This window comes from Homo sapiens, chromosome 16, assembly GCF_000001405.40.
Source record: "Homo sapiens chromosome 16, GRCh38.p14 Primary Assembly".
Taxonomy (NCBI): domain Eukaryota; kingdom Metazoa; phylum Chordata; class Mammalia; order Primates; family Hominidae; genus Homo; species Homo sapiens.
The window spans coordinates 88,801,210-88,821,270 of NC_000016.10; the positions used below are offsets into that span (position 1 = coordinate 88,801,210).

At 61.7% G+C, this 20,061-nt stretch overlaps 3 protein-coding genes across 14 annotated transcripts in view, besides 17 other annotated features; 1 reads left to right on the top strand and 2 right to left on the bottom strand.

Moving 5' to 3' along the window:
* Window positions 1,834-2,409: an enhancer, noted in NCBI's record as "H3K27ac-H3K4me1 hESC enhancer chr16:88869451-88870026 (GRCh37/hg19 assembly coordinates)". NCBI's record gives its function as "activates a minimal SCP1, AML or CMV promoter by ChIP-STARR-seq in naive H9 embryonic stem cells {active_cell/tissue: H9 hESC(naive)}" and the evidence as "EXISTENCE:reporter gene assay evidence [ECO:0000049][PMID:30033119]".
* Window positions 1,834-2,581: a biological region, named in NCBI's record as "H3K27ac-H3K4me1 hESC enhancer GRCh37_chr16:88869451-88870026".
* Window positions 2,342-2,581: a silencer, noted in NCBI's record as "silent region_7877". NCBI's record gives its function as "represses an Ori minimal core promoter by ATAC-STARR-seq in GM12878 lymphoblastoid cells {active_cell/tissue: GM12878}" and the evidence as "EXISTENCE:reporter gene assay evidence [ECO:0000049][PMID:35858748]".
* On the top strand, window positions 2,580-8,049 carry CDT1 (chromatin licensing and DNA replication factor 1). Its single transcript, NM_030928.4, has 10 exons — window positions 2,580-2,850; window positions 3,336-3,458; window positions 3,553-3,689; window positions 4,231-4,428; window positions 4,515-4,660; window positions 4,812-4,912; window positions 5,277-5,465; window positions 5,842-5,994; window positions 6,072-6,273; window positions 6,906-8,049. The coding sequence occupies exons 1-10, from the start codon at window positions 2,623-2,625 to the stop codon at window positions 7,067-7,069; spliced, it is 1,641 nt and encodes a 546-aa protein (NP_112190.2). The 5' UTR covers window positions 2,580-2,622; the 3' UTR covers window positions 7,070-8,049.
* Window positions 2,662-2,771: a silencer, noted in NCBI's record as "silent region_7878". NCBI's record gives its function as "represses an Ori minimal core promoter by ATAC-STARR-seq in GM12878 lymphoblastoid cells {active_cell/tissue: GM12878}" and the evidence as "EXISTENCE:reporter gene assay evidence [ECO:0000049][PMID:35858748]".
* Window positions 3,128-4,011: an enhancer, noted in NCBI's record as "H3K27ac-H3K4me1 hESC enhancer chr16:88870745-88871628 (GRCh37/hg19 assembly coordinates)". NCBI's record gives its function as "activates a minimal SCP1, AML or CMV promoter by ChIP-STARR-seq in naive and primed H9 embryonic stem cells {active_cell/tissue: H9 hESC(naive and primed)}" and the evidence as "EXISTENCE:reporter gene assay evidence [ECO:0000049][PMID:30033119]".
* Window positions 4,012-4,894: an enhancer, noted in NCBI's record as "H3K27ac-H3K4me1 hESC enhancer chr16:88871629-88872511 (GRCh37/hg19 assembly coordinates)". NCBI's record gives its function as "activates a minimal SCP1, AML or CMV promoter by ChIP-STARR-seq in naive and primed H9 embryonic stem cells {active_cell/tissue: H9 hESC(naive and primed)}" and the evidence as "EXISTENCE:reporter gene assay evidence [ECO:0000049][PMID:30033119]".
* Window positions 5,632-6,145: an enhancer, noted in NCBI's record as "H3K27ac-H3K4me1 hESC enhancer chr16:88873249-88873762 (GRCh37/hg19 assembly coordinates)". NCBI's record gives its function as "activates a minimal SCP1, AML or CMV promoter by ChIP-STARR-seq in primed H9 embryonic stem cells {active_cell/tissue: H9 hESC(primed)}" and the evidence as "EXISTENCE:reporter gene assay evidence [ECO:0000049][PMID:30033119]".
* APRT (adenine phosphoribosyltransferase) lies at window positions 8,130-10,719 on the bottom strand. Of its 2 annotated transcripts, none has more exons than NM_000485.3 (5): window positions 10,611-10,719; window positions 10,341-10,447; window positions 9,214-9,347; window positions 8,861-8,939; window positions 8,130-8,631 (listed from the first exon to the last, which is right to left on the bottom strand). In NM_000485.3, exons 1-5 carry the CDS (start codon window positions 10,688-10,690, stop codon window positions 8,489-8,491), a joined length of 543 nt encoding a protein of 180 aa, NP_000476.1. In that variant the 5' UTR covers window positions 10,691-10,719; the 3' UTR covers window positions 8,130-8,488. The 2 variants fall into 2 exon arrangements, with proteins under 2 accessions (NP_000476.1, NP_001025189.1); NM_001030018.2 differs by having other exon boundaries at window positions 8,260-8,497.
* Window positions 9,053-9,588: an enhancer, noted in NCBI's record as "H3K4me1 hESC enhancer chr16:88876670-88877205 (GRCh37/hg19 assembly coordinates)". NCBI's record gives its function as "activates a minimal SCP1, AML or CMV promoter by ChIP-STARR-seq in naive H9 embryonic stem cells {active_cell/tissue: H9 hESC(naive)}" and the evidence as "EXISTENCE:reporter gene assay evidence [ECO:0000049][PMID:30033119]".
* Window positions 10,472-10,871: a silencer, noted in NCBI's record as "silent region_7879". NCBI's record gives its function as "represses an Ori minimal core promoter by ATAC-STARR-seq in GM12878 lymphoblastoid cells {active_cell/tissue: GM12878}" and the evidence as "EXISTENCE:reporter gene assay evidence [ECO:0000049][PMID:35858748]".
* Window positions 11,094-11,778: an enhancer, noted in NCBI's record as "H3K27ac-H3K4me1 hESC enhancer chr16:88878711-88879395 (GRCh37/hg19 assembly coordinates)". NCBI's record gives its function as "activates a minimal SCP1, AML or CMV promoter by ChIP-STARR-seq in naive H9 embryonic stem cells {active_cell/tissue: H9 hESC(naive)}" and the evidence as "EXISTENCE:reporter gene assay evidence [ECO:0000049][PMID:30033119]".
* Window positions 11,122-11,381: a silencer, noted in NCBI's record as "silent region_7880". NCBI's record gives its function as "represses an Ori minimal core promoter by ATAC-STARR-seq in GM12878 lymphoblastoid cells {active_cell/tissue: GM12878}" and the evidence as "EXISTENCE:reporter gene assay evidence [ECO:0000049][PMID:35858748]".
* Window positions 11,779-12,462: an enhancer, noted in NCBI's record as "H3K27ac-H3K4me1 hESC enhancer chr16:88879396-88880079 (GRCh37/hg19 assembly coordinates)". NCBI's record gives its function as "activates a minimal SCP1, AML or CMV promoter by ChIP-STARR-seq in naive H9 embryonic stem cells {active_cell/tissue: H9 hESC(naive)}" and the evidence as "EXISTENCE:reporter gene assay evidence [ECO:0000049][PMID:30033119]".
* Window positions 12,525-20,061, bottom strand: part of GALNS (galactosamine (N-acetyl)-6-sulfatase) — a 43,214-nt gene continuing 35,677 nt past the window's right edge. For 4 of the 11 annotated variants that reach the window (NM_001323543.2, NM_000512.5, NM_001323544.2 and 1 more), the window contains 2 exons: window positions 16,798-16,915; window positions 12,525-13,316 (listed from right to left, as the gene is read on the bottom strand). In NM_001323543.2, coding sequence (NP_001310472.1) covers window positions 13,230-13,316; window positions 16,798-16,915 — 205 coding nt within the window. In that variant the 3' untranslated portion in view covers window positions 12,525-13,229. Of the gene's footprint in view, window positions 16,248-16,797; window positions 16,916-20,061 lie in introns of all 11 variants that reach the window. The other 7 variants (XM_017023113.2, XM_005256301.4, XM_011522982.3 and 4 more) reach the window with 2 other exon arrangements.
* Window positions 14,948-15,057: a silencer, noted in NCBI's record as "silent region_7881". NCBI's record gives its function as "represses an Ori minimal core promoter by ATAC-STARR-seq in GM12878 lymphoblastoid cells {active_cell/tissue: GM12878}" and the evidence as "EXISTENCE:reporter gene assay evidence [ECO:0000049][PMID:35858748]".
* Window positions 14,948-15,481: a biological region, named in NCBI's record as "H3K4me1 hESC enhancer GRCh37_chr16:88882597-88883098".
* Window positions 14,980-15,481: an enhancer, noted in NCBI's record as "H3K4me1 hESC enhancer chr16:88882597-88883098 (GRCh37/hg19 assembly coordinates)". NCBI's record gives its function as "activates a minimal SCP1, AML or CMV promoter by ChIP-STARR-seq in naive H9 embryonic stem cells {active_cell/tissue: H9 hESC(naive)}" and the evidence as "EXISTENCE:reporter gene assay evidence [ECO:0000049][PMID:30033119]".
* Window positions 15,482-15,981: an enhancer, noted in NCBI's record as "H3K4me1 hESC enhancer chr16:88883099-88883598 (GRCh37/hg19 assembly coordinates)". NCBI's record gives its function as "activates a minimal SCP1, AML or CMV promoter by ChIP-STARR-seq in naive H9 embryonic stem cells {active_cell/tissue: H9 hESC(naive)}" and the evidence as "EXISTENCE:reporter gene assay evidence [ECO:0000049][PMID:30033119]".
* Window positions 16,576-17,775: an enhancer, noted in NCBI's record as "CDK7 strongly-dependent group 2 enhancer chr16:88884193-88885392 (GRCh37/hg19 assembly coordinates)". NCBI's record gives its function as "activates an origin of replication core promoter dependent on BRD2, BRD4, P300/CBP, MED14 and CDK7 cofactors, with strong dependence on CDK7, by STARR-seq in HCT116 cells {active_cell/tissue: HCT116}" and the evidence as "EXISTENCE:reporter gene assay evidence [ECO:0000049][PMID:35650434]".

A 20,061-nucleotide genomic window follows, 5' to 3' on the forward strand; every position in this document is an offset into this window, starting at 1 on the left:
TGGCTTTTAAATAAATTTACATACCATAAAATACACAAATCTTAAGCTACCCTCAGATTTTGATAAATTCATACACTTATGTGACCCAAACCTGTCATGATCTAGACCATTTCTATCACCCTAGAAAATTGCCTCGTGCTCCTTCCAAGTCAGTTCCTGCCCCAACCTGCAACTAGTTTTGACTGAAGAAATACATTGTTTGTTTAATGTGTGGTGTGGCCAGGTGTGGTGGCTCACGCCTGTAGCCCCAGCTACTTGGGAGGCCGAGGCAGGGAGATCGCTTCAGTCCAGGAGTTCGAGACCAGCCTGGGTAACATGGTGAGATGCCGTCTCTACAAAAAAACAAAAACAAAAAACAAACATTTAGCCACGCGTGGTGGCTCACGCCTGTAGCCCCAGCTACTTGGGAGGCCAAGGCAGGGGGATTCCTTTAGCCCAGGAGTGGAGGCTAAGCTACTTCACTCCAGCCTGGGTGATCAAAAAAAAAAAAAAAAAAAGCACGTGTACCAAAACAAAACTTTTCAACAAAACGTAGCTTTAAAAAATGTGGGTCTCAGTCTTCCATATTTATTTCTTGACCCACTAAAAATTTGCTACCAGCTGCTTGCAAAACACAGGTCTAGGTGCTGATCCCTTATATACAGATGGAAAACAAATGCCTCACCACGCCCTCCCCATCCCCCCACTTATGAACGTCCTCACTTTTGAGGTGTTTTGTTTTGGAGATGGAGTCTCGCTCTGTTGCCCAGGCTGCTGGAGTGTAGTGGCGGGATCCTGAGTAGCAGAGATTACAGGTGCCTGCCATCACGTCCGGCTAATTTTTGTATTTATTGTAGAGACGGGGTTTTGCCATGTTGGCCAGGCTGGTCTTGAACTCCTGACCTCAAGTGATCCGCCCGCCTCGACTTCCCAAAGTGCTGGGATTACAGGCGTGAGCCACCGTGCAGGCCACCTTTGAGGTATTTTGCAAGCACCAGTTGCATCATCAAACCGGTTTCTATTCCTTTAACTTAAAAAAAAATAGGCACAATTCACGCTTTTTACAGAAAACTTGGAAAATGGGAAAACAGAAGCCCTCCTCTGAGCCCTGGCCGCCTCCACCCGCGTCCCCTTCCCTCGCAGGCCTCCAGGCCCCGGCGGCCCGCATTGCTTTGCGGGGGACTTCCGCAGCGCTGCGCCTGGCCCTGCTTATTGGCGTCTCTGGAAGGAGTGGCTGTGGCTCGGGCTCTCCAGATAAACCGCGCTCTAGGCCGTTTCCCAGATAGGAGCGCTATAGGTTTTAAGAACTAAAACTTTAAAATCTCAGCCCTCAGCCATGCTAAAGGCAGTTTCTTTTCTTTCCTTTTTTTTTTTTTTTTTTTTTTTTGAGACGGAGTTTCTCGCTCTTTCGCTCAGGCTGAAGTGCAGTGGCGCCATTTCGCCTCCCGGGTTCAAGCGATTCTGCTGCCTCAGCCCCCCAAGCAGTTGGAATTACAGGCGCCCGCCACCACGCCTGGCTAATTTTTGTATTTTTAGTAGAGAGGGGGTTTTACCATGTTGGTCAGGCTGGTCTCGAACTCCTGACCTCAGGTGATCCGCCCGCCTCGGCCTTTCAAAGTGCTGGGATTACAGGCGTGAACCATCGCGCCCGGCCCCTTTTCTTCGTTTCCATGTAATAGCTTGATTGAGAAATAATTCACATATCAAATCCACCCTTTTAAAAAGCGAGCAACGCGGATCGCGGAGGCCACGCCTGTGATCGCAGCGCTTTGGGAGGGGGCAGTTCCAAGAGAGCGGATCACTGAACCGGGGAGTTCGAGACCACCCGGCAACGTAATCTCCGCCTCGATAGAAATAGTTTTTTTTTTTTTTTTGAGACGGAGTCTCGCTGTCGCCCAGGCTGGAGTGCAGTGGCGCGATCTCGGCTCACTGCAGGCTCCGCCCCACGGGGTTCACGCCATTCTCAGGCCTCAGCCTTTTGAGTAGCTGGGACCACAGGTGCCCACCACCACGCCCGGCTAATTTTTTGTATTTTTAGTAGAGACGGGGTTTCACCGTGTTAGCCAGGATGGTCTCGATCTCCTGACCTCATGATCCGCCCGCCTCGGCCTCCCAAAGTACTGGGATTACAGGCGTGAGCCACCGCGCCCAGCCAGAAATAGTTTTAAAAAAAGAAATAAGGAGCGTGCGGCCCGCGGGGGAAGCGCCTTTACCAGCTCGAGCCTGCAGCCCCCCAGGCCGCGCCGTCCTCGGCTCCCCCGGGCAGCGCCGGGGTTTTGTCAGGCGCGCGCTGCTGTTTGCCTGGATTGCGCTCATTCTGACCCTGAAGCCAGCGGCCCCACTGACACGCCCTGAAAAGTGGGAGCCACACGCGGGATCCGGAGACCGCGCTAAAGTCCCACGCACGACGGCGCCCGCCGGCGAGTCCACGCCCGCACGTCGGCGCATGCGCGCGGCCAAGCCGGTGCCCGCGCCCACCAGCGCGCATGCGCGCCCCGTCCCTTCCCTCCCCCCGTGCTCTGCCCCGATGGTTCGGTCCGCGCCGGGGGCGGGGCCAGGGCGCCCGCGGGAAATTTGGCGGGAACCGCGCCCGCCTCTTCCTCCCTTCCTTCTTTCCTTGCTTTCGCCGCGCACTCCGCCGCCATGGAGCAGCGCCGCGTCACCGACTTCTTCGCGCGCCGCCGCCCCGGGCCCCCCCGCATCGCGCCGCCCAAGCTGGCCTGCCGCACCCCCAGCCCCGCCAGGCCCGCACTCCGCGCCCCGGCCTCCGCTACCAGTGGCAGCCGCAAGCGCGCCCGCCCGCCCGCCGCCCCCGGACGCGACCAGGCCAGGCCACCGGCCCGCAGGAGACTGCGGCTGTCGGTGGACGAGGTGAGGGGCGTGGGGAGACTGAGGCCGGGGAGTTGGGGGCGGGGAGACTGAGGCCCGGGGGGCAGGGCTCGGGGAAACTGAGGCGGAGGGACGGGGGCGGGGAAACAGGCGGGGGGGACGGGGCGCAGGGAACTCTGGGACAGGCCGGGGGATCCTGGGGGCGCCCTGCCACCACTGGGGACTTGGCTGGCTCCTGAGATGAGCAGGAGGCACTGGGGGGCTTGCACCGGGATCCGATGATGGGGCTGGAAGTCCAGCTTCTCTGCGAGGCCAGGGCAGGGGTCCGACCTGGAAACGGCCCCGGAAGACGAGAGCAAGGCTGTGTCCCCGGCCTTAGCACAGACCACCATCTACGGGAAGTCCTAAGCCCCCCAGCCATGCCCGTCCCAGTTAACTCAGAGCGGCTTCTGATCCTTCGGGGTCCTCTGCAGAGCCAGGAGCACCAGGTCTTGTCATGAGTTCACCCTTGGGGTCCCTCCCACCAGGTTTCCAGCCCCAGTACCCCCGAGGCCCCAGACATCCCAGCCTGCCCTTCTCCGGGCCAGAAGATAAAGAAATCCACCCCGGCAGCAGGTCAGCCGCCCCACCTGACATCCGCGCAGGACCAGGTGAGGGGCGGGGCCTGGGGCAGATGCGGGAGGGCTGAGTGGTGCCGGCCTGCCTGCCTGCCTGACGGCACCGTGTCCCCTGATCCCCCTGAAGGACACCATCTCTGAGCTTGCGTCATGCCTGCAACGGGCCCGGGAGCTGGGGGCAAGAGTCCGGGCGCTGAAGGCCAGTGCCCAGGATGCTGGGGAGTCCTGCACCCCAGAGGCCGAGGGCCGCCCTGAGGAGCCATGGTGAGTGCTGGGTGGGCGGCCACGAGGCCCCGGCAAAGGCCGGGTTGGTGGCAGGCGTGGCCCAGCGAGCCTGTCAGAGGCCCAGGTCTGCTCCTTCCAGGGAGGGTGGTGGTGAGGTCACCAGGGCGCGGACCCAGACCCCTGAGAAAAAGGTCCCGGGCACTGCTGGCGCTGTGCCCTCAGTCCCTCCTGCGGGGGGCAGCTCCTGCCTCGGGGACTCTGGCAGGTTTCAAATGCTCCTGATGCATTGGTGTGTTGTCTGCCTCTGCCCCTGAGAGCTGACGAAACTGCGCTGGGGAGAGGGCAGAGCTTCCCTGGGGGAGCTGCGTGGACACAGCAGAGCTGGGGTGTGGAGCCGGGCTTTCCCGTCACCACTGCTACCCCTAACGGTGCCAGTGCTGGTGGGTGTGCAAGGGCCGCGAAAGCCATCGTGTGTGGCATGGCAGGCCCCATCGGAGGGTCTCCCTGGCCGAGGGGCCTGCTGTGGCGTTGGAGGGGTAGGGGCCTACTGCTTCTCATGAGGCTCCTCCCTCCCTGACAGTGGCGAGAAGGCGCCCGCCTACCAGCGCTTCCATGCCCTGGCCCAGCCCGGCCTGCCGGGACTCGTGCTGCCCTACAAGTACCAGGTGCTGGCGGAGATGTTCCGCAGCATGGACACCATCGTGGGCATGCTCCACAACCGCTCCGAGACGCCCACCTTTGCCAAGGTCCAGCGGGGCGTCCAGGACATGATGCGTAGGTGAGTGGCCGGGGGTGGGCTGTGGCTGTCCTGGAGTTGGGGGTGGGCCCGGGCCTGCCTCCTGAGCCGCCCCCATCCTCCCATAGGCGTTTTGAGGAGTGCAATGTTGGCCAGATCAAAACCGTGTACCCGGCCTCCTACCGCTTCCGCCAGGAGCGCAGTGTCCCCACCTTCAAGGATGGCACCAGGAGGTCAGATTACCAGCTCACCATCGAGCCACTGCTGGAGCAGGGTGAGTGCTGGGTGCGGGACCTCGGTTTCCCCATCTGTGAGCCGCACAGTTTCCAGGGTGGGTGTGAGGTGCTGGGCATCTGGCCCAGGACTGGTCACGGGTGGGTGGCTGGGTGGCCTGGTGGGGACTTAGGCCTGGACTCGTCCCACAGAGGCTGACGGAGCAGCCCCCCAGCTCACGGCCTCGCGCCTCCTGCAGCGACGGCAGATCTTCAGCCAGAAGCTGGTGGAGCATGTCAAGGAGCACCACAAGGTGAGCGGCCCCCGGCCCCGCTGTGTGAAGATGGTGGCACCAGCACTGCCTCAGCACCTAACCCTGTGCTTGGAGCATCCCTGCCACTCACAGCTTCTCCCGGGATGGAACTGGGCTGGGTTCACCCTGAGCTGAGGGCTGGTGTGCTCAGGGTGCAGCCGCAGGCACTGAGGAGGTCCCCAAGGCGTTCAGCGAGCGCGGACCATGGGAGGCCTTGTGCTCTCCCTCCAAGCTGAGCACTGGGCAGAGGCTGAGTGACTTGCCCGAGGCGGCCCGGCTGGGACGTAAGCACAGGCCTACCTCACATGCAGTCTGCCCTTGTCTCAGATGTGCCCAGGGTCACCCATCTACTCCTTCTCCCCAGGCCTTCCTGGCCTCCCTGAGCCCCGCCATGGTGGTGCCGGAGGACCAGCTGACCCGCTGGCACCCGCGCTTCAACGTGGATGAAGTACCCGACATCGAGCCGGCCGCGCTGCCCCAGCCACCCGCCACGGAGAAGCTCACCACTGCTCAGGAGGTGCTGGCCCGGGCCCGCAACCTGATTTCACCCAGGGTGAGACTGCGAGGCTTGGGCAGCCCATTTCTCCCGGGTGGGTGGGCCAGCCTGACCCCAGGCTTAAGAGGTGGAAGCCTTGGTGATGAGCTTGACGCCTCATCTGGCTTCCTCCTTGGCTGGCGGATCCAGAGAGTTGGTGGCATTTGCCCTCTGTCCCCAGCTGCAGCCTCTAAGCCTGGCTCTGCCACTAGCCCCATGTGGGGAGTTGGCCTGGGCAGGCGATGCTGCACACTGGGACACTGCATTGACCGGCACAGACCACCCAGTGTGCTGGGTGAACTTGTGCCTTGAGAGATACCGGGGACTCCTGGGCAGACAGCCAGGGGCACGTTGCATCTTGTGACCTCTCCAGTCCAACCTGTCCCTCCCGCAGATGGAGAAGGCCTTGAGTCAATTGGCCCTGCGCTCTGCTGCGCCCAGCAGCCCCGGGTCTCCCAGGCCAGCACTGCCGGCTACCCCACCAGCCACCCCGCCTGCAGCCTCTCCCAGTGCTCTGAAGGGGGTGTCCCAGGATCTGCTGGAGCGGGTGAGTCGTCCCCAGTGATGGCGGGTGGGCGCCTGGTGACCTGCTGCCCACTAACCAGGTCCCGGTACCTGCTGCAGATCCGAGCCAAGGAGGCACAGAAGCAGCTGGCACAGATGACGCGGTGCCCGGAGCAGGAGCAGCGGCTGCAGCGCTTAGAACGGCTGCCTGAGCTGGCCCGCGTGCTGCGGAGCGTCTTTGTGTCCGAACGCAAGCCTGCGCTCAGCATGGAGGTGGCCTGTGCCAGGATGGTGGGCAGCTGTTGTACTATCATGAGCCCTGGTACGTGCAGGGCGGGGTGAAGGGGCGTGCAGGGTGGAATTGCCTGGTGCTGCAGCTGCCTCCCCAGCTTTCTGAGCAGAGGTGTCTGTCACTGATCTGTTCTGTTCAGATGTGCAGTGGGCGCTGGCCTCTTGCACTGGTGTGTCCTGGGCGCTCTGCCCTCCTTGGAGCCACCCCTGAGCCTCCGCCCGGCCCCTCCACACCTGCAGCCTCTGGAGGCAGCTTCCCCCTCACAGCTCTGGCCCTTTCCCTGACCACCTGCAGTCCTTGGTCAGAAGGGGCCCCACATGCACCCTCCACTGCCTCCCAGGCCTCTGGTGACCAGGCCCTGAGCACATAGGGGTCCTGACGCTACAGGGCACCTCCTGCCTCAGGGCTTTCATGGGCTGGCGGCCTCCATGCTCGGTGCCTCCTCACAGGGCCTCAACTGTAGGCCTGGCTCTCTCCGGTCACTGTTCACACCACCCAGACCTGGGCCTCTGATCAGAACCACCTCTGCCCTAAGTCCTGGTGATGGGGCCCTGAGGGCGACCAGGCAGGCACAGAGGTTGGGTGGTCAGGCTGGTTTCAAGTGCTGCCCGTGCAGGGCTGGGGCCCAGCACCAGCCTCAGTGTCCTCCTCTCCTCCCCCAGGGGAAATGGAGAAGCACCTGCTGCTCCTCTCCGAGCTGCTGCCGGACTGGCTCAGCCTCCACCGCATCCGCACCGACACCTACGTCAAGCTGGACAAGGCCGCGGACCTCGCCCACATCACTGCACGCCTGGCCCACCAGACACGTGCTGAGGAGGGGCTGTGAGCCTGGGGGCCACTGTGGACAGACGTGGGCTTCAGAAGCTCGCTGGCCTGGGCCCACCAGCATTTTCTTTTATGAACATGATACACTTTGGCCTTCCTTTCCCCAGCGCCCCTGAGGGCCAGAGGCAGATGTGGGCTGCAGGCTGCACAGCCCGAGGGTCTCTGGCTGCGGGCGGTGGGCCCCTTCATGGGGCTCACCTGGTGGATTCACATTAAACCGGTTTCTGTGGGCACCTCTGTCCTTGCTGCTGGTGGGGAAGGGAAGCCAGATCCAGCACCCCCTGGGGGGCCATCGGGAGTGTGGCTGGGGGTGAAGGGGGCTCTGTGGCAATATGGGGTTGGGTAGTGTGGGTGGCAGGCCATCCCCTCTAATCTTGGAACCTCTGAATATGGGACCTCCCACAGCAAAGGGTGACTTTTGTCATTAAGAAAGACTGGGGTGGGTGTGGTGGCTCACGCCTGTAACCCCAGCACTTTGGGAGGCCAAGGTGGGCAGATCACGAGGTCAAGAGATCGAGACCATCCTGGCGAACATGGTGAAACCCCATCTCTACTAAAAATACAAAAAATTAGCCGGGTGTGGTGGTGGGCACCTGTCGTCCCAGCTACTAGGGAGGCTGAGGCAGGAGAATGGTGTGAACCCAGGAGGCACAGCTTGCAGTGAGCGAAGATCGCACCACTGCACGCACTCCAGCCTGGGTGACAGAGCGAGACTCCGTCTCAAAAAAAAAAATTTCAAGACTGGAGAGGTGATCCTGAATTGTCCAGCTACGCCCCATGTCATCACAGGGCCTTCATGACAGGGCCAGAGCCAGCCAGCTTTGAAGACGCGGCCCTGCCCCGACACAGGCAGCCTGGAGAAGCTGGGCAGGACAAGTAGGACATCCCTGGAGCCTCCAGAAGGGACTGGCCTCTGCCCACACCTTGACTTCAGTATTTCTGACCTCCTAAACTCTAATAAAGTCATGCTTACAGCCACTAGATCTGCAGAAGAGCCCTCGCTTGCTCCCCTAGAAGATGGGCCCACATGGCCTCTTCCTGCAGTGCCTGGAGGGTTCTAGCTCCTGAGGTGAGAACCAGGACAGGTTCTGCTGGGCATCACGCCAAGCAGCACATGCCCACAGTACAGCTGAAGTCTGGTGTTGTCCTGGGGCTCCCTGCCCTGGGGAACAGGAGGACAGGAGACGGCTCTTGTGGGAAAGCTGTTTACTGCGTTCTCCCGCTGTGTGTAATTGGGTTCAGTGTGGCTGAAACACAGCTTTGCCCCAGGCTTTGGCACTTCCAGCCCCAGGAGAGGCGCTGAACCCCAGCAAAGGAATGTGTTCCCTGTGGGCAGCCGGTGCCCCTGGTCACTGCAGTTGCCCAAGGCTGATATTTCCCTGGGATCCAGCTGGAGATGTTGGGCTGGGAGGCCCTGTGGTCACTCATACTGCAGGAGAGAGAAGAAGGGTACAGGTGCCAGCTTCTCCCTGCCCTTAAGCGAGGTCAGCTCCACCAGGCTCACGCACTCCAGGACCTCAGCCTGCAGGCGGCCCAGCAGCTCACAGGCAGCGTTCATGGTTCCTGGGGATGGGAGGGTGAGGTCCCCAGTTGGCCTGGGCTGCAGAGAGCAGGTGCTCCAGGCCAGCCCCTGGGTTGGGGAGGGGAAGGCATGGGGAGAGGAAGGTGTCGGCCTGGCCACCAGGCACCCTCTGGACAACAGTAAGCTGCATCCCATGTCACACAGCGAGGTCCTGTCCCACTCCCACCAGGCCCTTGGAGCCACAGCAGTTGGCTGCGGGGAGACCCTTACCACCAGTGGCCAGCAGATCATCCACGACGACCACCCTCTGTCCTGGCTCCAGGGCGTCTTTCTGAATCTCCAGCTCAGCCTGGAGTGGGAAGTGGTGTGTGGTCCTCAGCCTCCCGCAGAAAACAGCTTTGTTGCACAGCTTGGCAGCTGCCACCCTAGACCCTGACTCCAACCCCACCTTGCTGTTACCTGGCTGTGTGAGCCCAGCCTATGTCTCAACCTCTCTGAGCTCCCAAGGCCACTGTAACCACAGCAGCTCCACTTGACACGCCTGGGAAGGCCTTTTAGAACTGGGGGAGAGTGGCCACGGTGGCCTGGCCCTGCCCTTCCTCTGGCCACCCCAGCCCTCTTACCTTCCCGTACTCCAGGGAATAGGAGGCCCACAGAGTGGGGCCTGGCAGCTTCCCCCGCTTTCGGATGAGCACGCAGCCCAGTCCAAGCTCCTGGGCCAGGGAGGGGCCAAAGAGGAAGCCTCGGGAGTCTAGGCCTGTCAGGGTAAGTGACAGGAGTGACTCGGCAGCATGGGAATCCCCAGGGGCCAGGGTTGGCCGGTGGCAAGGGGTACCTGGTTGGCTCCCAGCTGAAAGGCCAGTGACATGCACCATTTAAGGAATGTTACCCATCACCTACCCGGAGCTGCTTCCAGGTCAGAGTGCAGACCTGGGTCTGTCTTTTAAGGGACCACTTCTTAGCTGTGTGTTCCTAGGGGAGTCACCACCCCTCTCTCTGAGCTGAGCAGCCCATCTGTAACTGGGCTGGTAGAAACCTGACAGGCCTCAGCTTACTCTCAAAGGCAGCTCTGCACCAGGGCTTCTGTCTAAAAAGGGAGTCTCTCGAGGTGGCCTGAGCTGTGATGGTTGGGGGACGCTCAGGGAAACCCTGCCCCGGCCTGGCAGGAGGTCAGGGAGGGCTTCCTGCAGGAGGTGAGAAGGGAGCTCTGGCAGTGTTGTGGCTCCAGCAAGAGCTGGCGCTTTCCTCAGGGCAGTGTCCAGGGAGTGGGCTGTCACACCCTAGGAGAGGCAAGACGGCCAGGAACACTCTGTTCTCCCTGGGCCACCTCTTGGGCTCTCCCGGAGGCCTCCAGGCCTCCCTTCCCTGGGTGGGCATTCCGTGATCTTCACCAGGGAAGGCCTGGCTCGTGGCAGGCGCTCAATACCAGCTCGCAGAAGGAACAAGAAGCAAGGCAGCTGGGCCCTGTGGATTCAGCTTGGGCACTCCAGGGAGACCAACTGACCCGGCAACTCGGTCACGCCTGTCCTGGGCTGGGGACCCGGAACCTGCGGGAAGGACGCCTGCACAGCGCGGCGGCCTCGGGGGCTCAATCTCACAACCCTTCCCGGGCGACCCAAGCACGGCGCCCGTCCCGGCGCCCCCTGAAGCACCCCAAAGGCCCTCCCCCAAGCAGACGCGCAGAGCCCACGTGCTGCCCTCGGCGCGCGCAGAGGCGGAAGCGCCCTAGATGCGGCCACTGGGCACTCGCCTGCGATGTAGTCGATGCGGCCCCCGTGGGTCGCCTTCAGGTGTCGCGCCAGGAGGCCGATGGCGGCGCGGAAGGAGGCGGGGTCCTTCAGGACGGGCGAGATGTCCCTGGACCCAAGGACAGGCCTGGTGACGCCGGGGCCGAAGGAGGGCAGGGCCCCGGGGGCGAAAGACGAGGGTTCCCGCCCCGCCCGCCCGGAGGTCGCGGGCCACGCGCTCCCATCCGTAGGCCCGCAGGTCGGGGCGCCACGAGGGCGGCCTGTGCGTGCACCTGAATACCACGCCTGGGGTGGGGAAGTCGGGGAAGCTGCGGATCCGCTGCTCAACCAGCTGCAGCTCGGAGTCGGCCATGGCCGCGTGCGAAGAGCCAGCGGCAGCCCGAGCGCGCCTGCGCGGGGACGGGCGGGACCGCCACGAGGGGTGGGGCATCCCCGGAGGGCGGAGCGTGGGTGAGGGGCGGGGCATCCGTCGCCGGAAGCCTGTACCGTATTTCATGGACTCCTAGGCGCCATCGATTTTAAGACGCGCTCGCATTCCACGCACCACTGAGCAGAACGTTCGAACCGGACAAAAGTGCGAGTCAAGGCGCCCTTCCTTGTCTCGGGCTACGCTTCTGACTGCAGCCAGGCAGCTGTGGGCCGGGGCCTTGGCGGCTGGAGGAGGGGCGTGAGCTGGTCTCGCCCACGCACCTGGCGCGCGTACGGGCCGCGCCCTTTCTCCTTTATTGGCCGAGATCCCCACGCTGCGCGCGGGAGGCTGGCGCGCGGGGTGGAGAAGGGCGTGAGGAAGCGGTCCAAGTAGCAGGAGGGCGGTGCAGGGCCCGGAGGGAGCAGCCCAGGGCGGAGGCGGCGGGCCTGGGCTGGACCGGCCGGGGGCGCTGGCCTCTCGCGGATGGGCCCTGCCGTTGAGGCGGCTCTTCCCCGCCCGGACCCGGGGGAGGGAGGCCGGAAGGTGTGGCCAGGCCAGGGCGCGCATCCGCGAGGGCAGAAGCCCTTCTGTCCGCCTGCAGAGGCCAGGTGACCCCTTAGCCTTGGGGTGGGGAGCTGTGAACCCCCTGGCCGCCCGAGGACTGGTACCCAGGGGGTTGTGTGAGGCATAACTCCCCCCAAACACAATTTCCTTTCAAGAAAATCCCCAGAGCTAAAATGCCTTGTGCTCTATTCCAAGACTTTTCTTCATTTCGCAACTTTTTTTTGAGAAGGACTCTCGCTCTGTCGCCCAGGATGGAGCACAGTGGCGCCATCTGGGCTCACTGCAAGCTCCACCTCCTGGGTTCCGGCCATTCTCCCGCCTCAGCCTCCCGAGTAGCTGGGACTACAGGAGCCCGCCACCACGCCCTGCTAATTTTTTGTATTTTTAGTAGAGACGCAGTTTCACTGTGTTAGCCAGGATGGTCTCGATCTCCTGACCCCGTGATCTGCCCGCTTCGGCCTCCCAAAGTGCCGGGATTACAGGCGTGAGCCACCGCGCCCGGCCCATCATTTCGCAACTTTTACAATTCAGCTTTGGCCTGGCAGTTACTGCAGAAGGGAAAACCCACTCAGTGGAAGGCAGCCCCCAGGAGCCTTCGGAGGGGGAGGCCGGAGGCTGCATGCGGCTGCTGGGGCCCCGGTTCCAGGGCGGGTGGGGGACCCATCGTCTGATGCCAAGGGGCGTGGTAGGGGCGGCTGCCTCGCAGTGTGCGGTGGTCAGGGCTGGCAAGGCCTGGGGCCTGGGCTCCAGACCCCTAGGGAAGGTGGAAATGGAGGACCCTGACATCCTCACGTCCCCGGGGAAGCTGCCACATGAGCCGGCCCCACCGGTCCAAGTGTGTGAGCTACACTTCAGCCGTCCACGTCCAGCCCAGGAGGCCTCCGCCTTCCCCTTCCTTGTTCCTGATTCTGTCTCCCAGATGGCCCGAGGGGGGCCTGGGAAGGCGTGGGGTGGGGGGGTACTGGAGGAGGGGCCTGGGGAGGGTTCAACACAGAATTGGCCCTGTGGCTTCCTTCAACCCGGGCTGTTGGGCTGGCGTGGGAACAGCAAGGAGCCCCGAGTCCTGCCCTTCAACAACCAATGTGGCGCTGGCCTCTGGAGGAGGCCGGCCGGGAGGCAGCGGGAGCTGGGCACCTGATTCTTGGCAGCTGCTGAGAAGGTGTGAAAGGAAAATAAATCTCCGGACCCCAAAATCACTCAGCCAAGAGAAAAATCAAGCTGGGAATTAGGCAAACCTGCCTCCCGTTTTATTTCTAAATAACATAGTTACAATGATAAGAAGCTACACGCCTCCCTCATAATTAGCGTCCAGGGAAATTCCTTGTGGACAAAGGACAGACGGAACTGGAAGTCATCCCTCTGGGGCTCCCCTGAGACAAACGCTTATATGATTGCCCCGTTCCCTTACTGTTTACATAAAAATGCGGATTCACTGGGCCAGACTCAATCGTGTATTCAGTGGAAGGCTGACTGAACCAATGTACGCCATACACATACTGATCTTGTGTCTCCCTAAGATGTATAAAGGCAAACTGTATCCCCAGCCACCTCAGGCACCTGTTGTCAGGACCTCCTGAGGCTGTCACAGGTGCATCCTTAACCTTGGCAAAATAAACTGAGACTGGTCTCAGATATTTGGGGTTCACAAAGGCGTGAGACGGCAGGGTCCTGAGGTCTGAGGCGCCGTGGGCGAGGAGGAGGGTCCTGAAATCTGAGGCGCCGTGGGCGAGGAGGAGGGCCAAGCACACGCCAGGGTCAGGTCCTGGGCAGGTGGAATTGTGCAGTCCCCCTGCGTCTGCAGGTGCTGTCTGTCTGGCTTGGGCAGGGTTGGGGGAGGACCGAGGCCAGAGCCATCCTTCCTCCAGGCACTTGCAGGGCCAACCGGAGATTCTAGGCCTGGCCTGAGTCTGCGCAGGTGCTAGTGGGACCAGAGGCACTTCTTGGGAATGGATTCTGGAGGTGTCAGACACTTCCCTAACTTTTCACAGCCCGGAGGTGCCCAGTTCTGGGAAATGAAAATTGAGAAAAAGAACATGCAGTTATTCAAGCTCTTCTGGACCCAGCAGCAGCGGGCATTTTGTTGTTGCTGTTCTGAGACAGTCTCACTCTGTCACCCAGGCTGGAGTTCAGTGGCGCGATCTTGGCTCACTGCAACCTCTGCCTTCCGGGTTCAAGAGATTCTCCTGCCTCAGCCTCCTGAGTGAGTAGCTGCTGGGATTACAGGCACGCGCCACCACGCCTGGCTAATTTTTGTATTTTTAGTAGAGACGGAGTTTCACCATCTTGACCAGGCTGGTCTTGAACTCCTGACCTCGTGATCCACCTGCCTTGGCCTCCCAAGGTGCTGGGATTACAGGTGTGAGCCACCACGCCCAACCATTTTTGTATTTTTGGTAGAGACAAGGGTTCCCCAAGTTGGCCAGGCTGGTCTCAAACTTCTGACCTCAGGTGATCCACCTGCCTTGGCCTCCCAAAGTGCTGGGATTATAGGCGTGAGCCACCGCGCTTGGCCTCGAGCAGTTTTGATGTGTCCCCTGCCCAGGTCAACCCCGGACCCCAACCAATTGGCCTCAGTGTGGGGACCACCTCGGTCCAGGTGGGCAGCTACACAGACGCTCCCCAGGAATCATGGGAACTTGGGAGATGGCACCCTCTTGACTCGGCCTCTCAGCTCTGAAGGCTGCCATTGGAGAAATGAGAACTTGGTGGGGAGGTCCCGGGTATGGGGGATGCAGCTGCCAAGTGGCTGAGGGCCTCCGAGGGCCAGCAGTGTTAGAAAGGGCAGGCGGTCCTCCCAGGAGGGCCCACCCTGAGCTTCTCAACTCATCACCCTCTCCTGCAGCTTCAGCCTCTCAAGAAGCCTTTCCCAGGGAGAAGCCAGTCCCTACTGCGCTGCTGGGCTCAGTTCAGTGCGGTGCTGAGCGGAGCCCGCACCCCTCCATCGCCTGGGTGTGTGTGGACCTCACAGTGCAGCCTTGCTTAGCGGAAGCCTTGCTTGATGGGAGGGCACTTTTCCTGGCAACAGAAAGGGAGACTTATGCCGCTAAGAGGAGCCTTCTTGGCTGAAATGAGTGCAGTTTGGTTCTGTGTCCCCATCCAGGCCACTTCTGTGCCACGTCAGACGCCGCATGGCCCTGAGGGCACTTTCCGGGGACAGACTTTGGATTCTGGGTGCTGCTCAGGGTACTAAGGACAGTCTCCAGCCCTAGGCGGCAGCAGGGATGCCGCATGAGTGTCCCTGCCCCCTTGGCCACCAGAGCAGGAGTGGGTTTGGGTGAGGAAGCTGCTCCCAAACTCCAGGGGCAGCAGAGGCAGCCGCAGGGTGTGTTTGAGTCTGGATGGGGGATCTGCATTTCTCAAAGGCCGCTCAGCTGTCCCAGAAGCAGGGGTCCAGGTGGCCACACTCCCTCTCCTCTGTGCCAGAGACGCCACTGAGCCCCTCTCCTGGGGCTGGCCTGGAGTTGGCGGGGACAGAGGGCAGGGAAGGGGTAAGGAGGGCCCCCAGGCTTCACACGCGTGTCTGTGCATCTCCCCCATGGCTCTGCTCACGGTGGCATCTGGGCCCCTCAGACCCCAGTGGCTCAGCTCGCCAGGTCTGAGTTGGCACTTTTCCCCCTGCAGAGAGCACAGGTGTGGCGGTGGGGGCAGTTCCCCCAGTGCCCAGGAGATGGCAGTGGCAGCCAGGCTGTGTGCGCCCACCTCCCCTGCCCTGTGCCCACTGTCTCCATGGCAGGTGTGGCCTGCGCCCGTGGAGCCACTGCAGCCTGGGTCGTAGAGAAGGACCCAGCAGCACGGAGTGGGATTGGGTGTGGAAGGCAGAAGGCCAGGGCTCCTCCACGGCTGGTGGCCCTGGGCTCCTGGGGCCCCGAGACTCAGGGGTCCTGAGACAGGGACCTCCCTGCTCCACCACTGAGTCCAGAGGCGGGGACGCCAGCTGCCCAGGTCCCTTTGAAGGAAGGGCCCTGAATATCTTCCTATGAAACTTGCCAGGCACCCCCGCCCCCCGCCCCCCAACTAACGGAGGTGGCCCTGCCCTGCCCAGTCCTAAATAACCCTGCAGGGTGGACTGTCCCTGGGCAGGGACAAGGCCATCTGCCCTCCATGGTCCTCACTGCTGGTAGGTGCTCCCGATGGCCGGTGCTCTCCTGTTACATCCGCCGGCCCACGCTGTGGCTCCCTGGCTGTTCAGAGCCACCACCTTCCTTCCCACGGCACGGCGGGCACCCAGCGGCTCCCACGCTGCAGCCGGGTCTGGCCCTGGAAAGAGGCTTCAGCTGGGCCTTTTCGCCCGCACAGCAGGAGCCCAGGCTGAAGTCTGCAGCTGCCGAGGGGCCTTCTTCCCGAATCCTGCGCGGCAGATCCAGGGGCTGTGGGCAGCCACGCCCAGCCCGTGTAAACAGGTGAGCGACGGCCCAGGGGCCTCGAGGCTGGGCTCGGCCATCTCCACTGTGCTCGGTGGGCTCTGGGCACCCAGGAGCGACACCGCAGACCTGTGTGTGGCTCGTTTTTGCCGACTAGAGCGAGGGCCGCACGTGTCCCATCTGAAGGAGCTGTGAAGACCTGCCCTGCTGGGACCCACATCAGCTGTGCTGGGAAACAGGCCTTTGCGGCCACTGCACACGCGGGATGGCTGGGCCGTCCACATGCCACCCTATGGGACCCCCAAGCAGGGGACAGAAAAGCTGCTCCTGAGAGGCCCTGACTGCTGCGGCCCCCAGGGCTGGACAAGACGACGACGCATCCTTTGTGGCCTGAACACAGACTTCAGTGAAACTTTGGAGGCACGTCTGTGCTTGTGTTTCTGGCCGATGCTGGCGTGATGAGGCCGTTTCTCTACTGGAGGTGAACAAGGCCTGGTCTTGTCAGGCTGCACGGAGGTGCTGCTCTGGGTGGGTGCCTATGAGTGAGATCAGGTCTGATGCGAAGGTCTCTGGGGCTGGCCCAGCATGAAGGAGGCACAAATGAGAACCTCGCAGGTGGGCCCTGGGGCCGCCGCCACTCAACAGTGCCCACCAGCCCACCCGGGACCCACCGGGCAGTGCCGTTCCTGCCTCGGTGCCTTCAGAGCCCGGGAGTTTGGAGGTCATCACAGGGCCCCTGCAAGGAGAAGCTGCCCGTGTGGGAGTCGAGGACCAGGGGACCCCGGACCCTCTCACGCGCCCTGCTGTCCCTCAGTGACTTGTGGGGGGCAGGAGAGGGGCCTTGGAGCTCCCCAGTCTCAGCTCAGCCAGGCAGAGGCCCGGGTGGCCGGCTGTGGACCTGCGGCTGCCCTGGTGCAGCGTTGTTCTGGTCCCCGAGTCGCTTGGCTCCTGCCTCCCGAATCCCGGACGCCGCCGCGTGTGCTCTGAGGCACGAGGGCCTCACCACTGACGGAGGCGGGGAAGCACGCCTGCCTCTGCCCTGTGCTGGCCACGGTTCATCCTGGGCCCCGGGTGGGTGGCTGCAGCCCCGGCAAAGAGACGGCCGCCCACACACCAGCCACTTACCATGACCGCCCAGTTGCACACGTTGAGCTGGGGCTGCGCGGGGACCAAGGCCTCCTGGTGCTGCTGGACGACCGAGGTGATCCTGCTGAGGGCCTCCTGGTACTCGGCGCTGGCAAAGCTGGGGACAGAGAGCTCTGGTCACACGGCTGGGGCTGACAGCGAAGGACGGAGAGGGGCTGGCCTGGACAGGCTGAGGCTGCAGAGCTCTAACGGGCTGAGAACCACAGTGAGCAGTCACTGGGACCATGTGCTCAAGCCTGCAGCGGCCCCGGGCCTCGCTAGGACAGGCAGCAGGCACCCGAGCCATCCTCTGCCCTCAGACTCACGGGCAAGAGAGGAAATGAAGGCTCAGCAGGCCAAGCCCTGGCAGAGAGGCTGTGAGTAGAGCCGTCCCATCCTGTCCCTGCCTGTGACCAGGACCCGGGATATGTGGGCTGGGGCCTGTGGGTCTCCCCAGCACTCACTACTACGTAAACATTTACAAATATGACACACCCTTCTTTCATTACAAAAGCAACGTCATCCCATTGCCAAAAAGCAGGAAATGGAGGGGAACGGCATCTGCAGTTCTAAAATTCCAATGCAAGCTGCGGAGTGTTTGGATTCCTTTCATCTTCACGAAGATACGATTACACGGCTCGACGAGGTGCCACGGTTCGCGATGTCAGGGCCGCAGTTTGCGATGCTGTGAATCTTGGGTCCACGGCGCCGTCATGCTGTGCTCTGAGGACATCTGCACAGATGATGCCTTTTCACCATTTTCAATCACTTCTAATATCGACAACATCCACATAAAAAGACACCTGCCATCGCTGCCATAGCGGAGATGCAGGGAGGAACTTCTGCGAGTGTGGCTGAAGCTGGAGTTTCTCAATGCCCAGGCTGGGAGCTGCGTTGCTGCTGGTGGGGACGTGGACCGGAGCAGCCACTCTGGAAGGTGGTGTGGCAGCTCCTTACAAAGCTAGAGACGGGGTTACCAGGTGAGTCAGCTCCCCTCCTGATGGCAGCACCTGTCCAGGCCCAGTACCTTCTGGGAGGTGAGCCCGGACCCACTGAAGCCCAGTCTTCTGCCTTGGACGCTCAGCAGTCTGTGAGAACTGGCTTTTTGCTCCAGAACCTTCCCTAAAAATGAGGCTTCACACGGAAGCTGCATGCAACAGGGACGGGGATGCGCCCCCCTCCCCACCCCCGGCCACCTGCCCCAGCCTCTTTCTGCTCGATCCACCCACTCCCTGCTTAGGCCTCAGGCCTGGGGTTGCATCAGAGGGCGACCTTCAGGAGAGCTGGGGTCCTTCAGGGCTCCCCGCTTGGTGCCCGCGGAGATGCCTGTCCTGGTCCCAGCCTGGGCTTCACACAGCGCCCCTGAGCACAGGGTCCATTTTTAATCCAGGAGGGTCTCAGGTGCATTTGTGTTTCTGCAGGATTCTGTGGCCAAATACTGCTGGTTGAGAACTGGCGTGAACTGCACGTGCACTTTCTGACGGTGAGCGTCCCCGAAGGCCGTGGCCTGGCTTGTTGCTTTAATCTTGTTTATTTCATTTATTTTTTAGAGACAGGATCTTGCTCTGTTACCCAGGCTGGAGTGGTGAGACAGCAGCTCACTGCAGCCTTGACCTTCCAGGCTCAAGCGATCTTCCTGCCTCAGTCTCTTGAGTAGCTGGGACCATAGATCACTGTGCCTGGCTAATTTTAATTATTATTTTTTGAGAGAGAGTCTCGCGCTGTCACCTAGGCTGGAGTGCAATGGCATGATCTCAGCTCACTGCAACCTCCGCCTCCCTGGTTCAAGCGATTCTCCTGCCTCAGCCTCCTGAGTAGCTGGGAGTACAGGCGCCCGCCACCACGCCTGGCTAATTTTTATATTTTTAGTAGAGACGGGGTTTCACCATGTTGGTCAGGCTGGTCTCGAACTCCTGACCTCATGATCTGCCTGCCTCGGCCTCCCAAAGTGCTGGGATTACAGGTGTGAGCCACTGTGCCCGGCCTTAATTTTTTATTTTCTGTACCAGTAAGGTCTTGCTGTGTTGACCAGGCTGGTCTCAAACTCCTGGGGCTCAAGAGATCCTCCTACCTCGGCCTCCCAAAGTGCTGGGATCACAGGTGTGAGTGACCATGCCTGGCCCCGTCGTCTTTTTTTCTTTAGACGGAGTCTTGCTCTGTCACCCAGGCTGGAGTGCAGTGGTGCGATCTCAGCTCACTGCAACCTCCGCCTCCTGGGTTCAAGCAATTCTCCCGCCTCACCTTCTCGAGTAGCTGGGATTACAGGCACCGACCAACACATCCAGCTAATTTTTTGTATTTTGGTAGAGATGGGATTTCACCATGTAGGCCAGGCTGGTCTCAAACTCCTGACCTCAGGTGATCCACTCACCTCAGCCTCCCAAAGTGCTGGGATTACAGGCATGAACCATGGCGACCGGCCACCCGTCTTTAATTTAGAGAGGCTCCTGGCAAAGTGACATGTGTGTCTGTGTCTGAGAAGCAGCCCACGGTGAATCAGGCTGTGTCATGGGTGTGTGACCTCAGGGACAGTGGTTCTCAAAGGCATGGCCGACAGCTGGGCCTCCTTGTGACCCCCTCTGGGAAGCTCTGCCTGCTGCCTGGGTTTGCTTTGAAATAACCCTGCCTTCTCCAGCTGTGAGGGCGGGGCTGGGTGGCTGTGGTGGGTGGGACTGTGTCTCTGCTCTGGCCTGGCTGGAGGGGCTCCAGCAAACGCAACAGGCGGGGAGCAGTGGCCCTGAGGACCCCCCTGTGGATGCCAATCACGCCCAGTGGACGCGAGGGGGCACCGCCATCCAGGCTTTAACCTCGGGTGGTCCCTGGAGCGACCAGCCTGTGGGGGGTGTGGCGGGCACCGGTGTGGCCAGCAGCTTGTTCTGTGTAACTGGGGCCTGCAATCTGCTCCCCGTGGTCCCCCTGGGACGGCGCTTCCAGCTGGGGGGGCTGTTGGCTCCTCAGTGACTTCTGCGGGCACAGGGGGCTCCCAGACAGCCCCTCCAGCTCCACAAGGCCCCAAGCTCCAGGCCCCCCATGGTTTCACGGGTCTCACCCCCATGGGTGATCACGAGTCCCCCGGGGGCGTCTGTCTCTGTATCTCGGCACCCCCACAACATATGACCATGAACTGGGGCTTAAAACAATGAAACTGCAGATGCCCCTCACTTTTCCAGAGGCCAGAGGCTGAAACCAAGGGTCTCAGGGCTGTGCACCCCTGGAGGAACTGGGGCTCCTTCCTGCCTCTTCCAGCTCCAGTGGCCCCAGGTG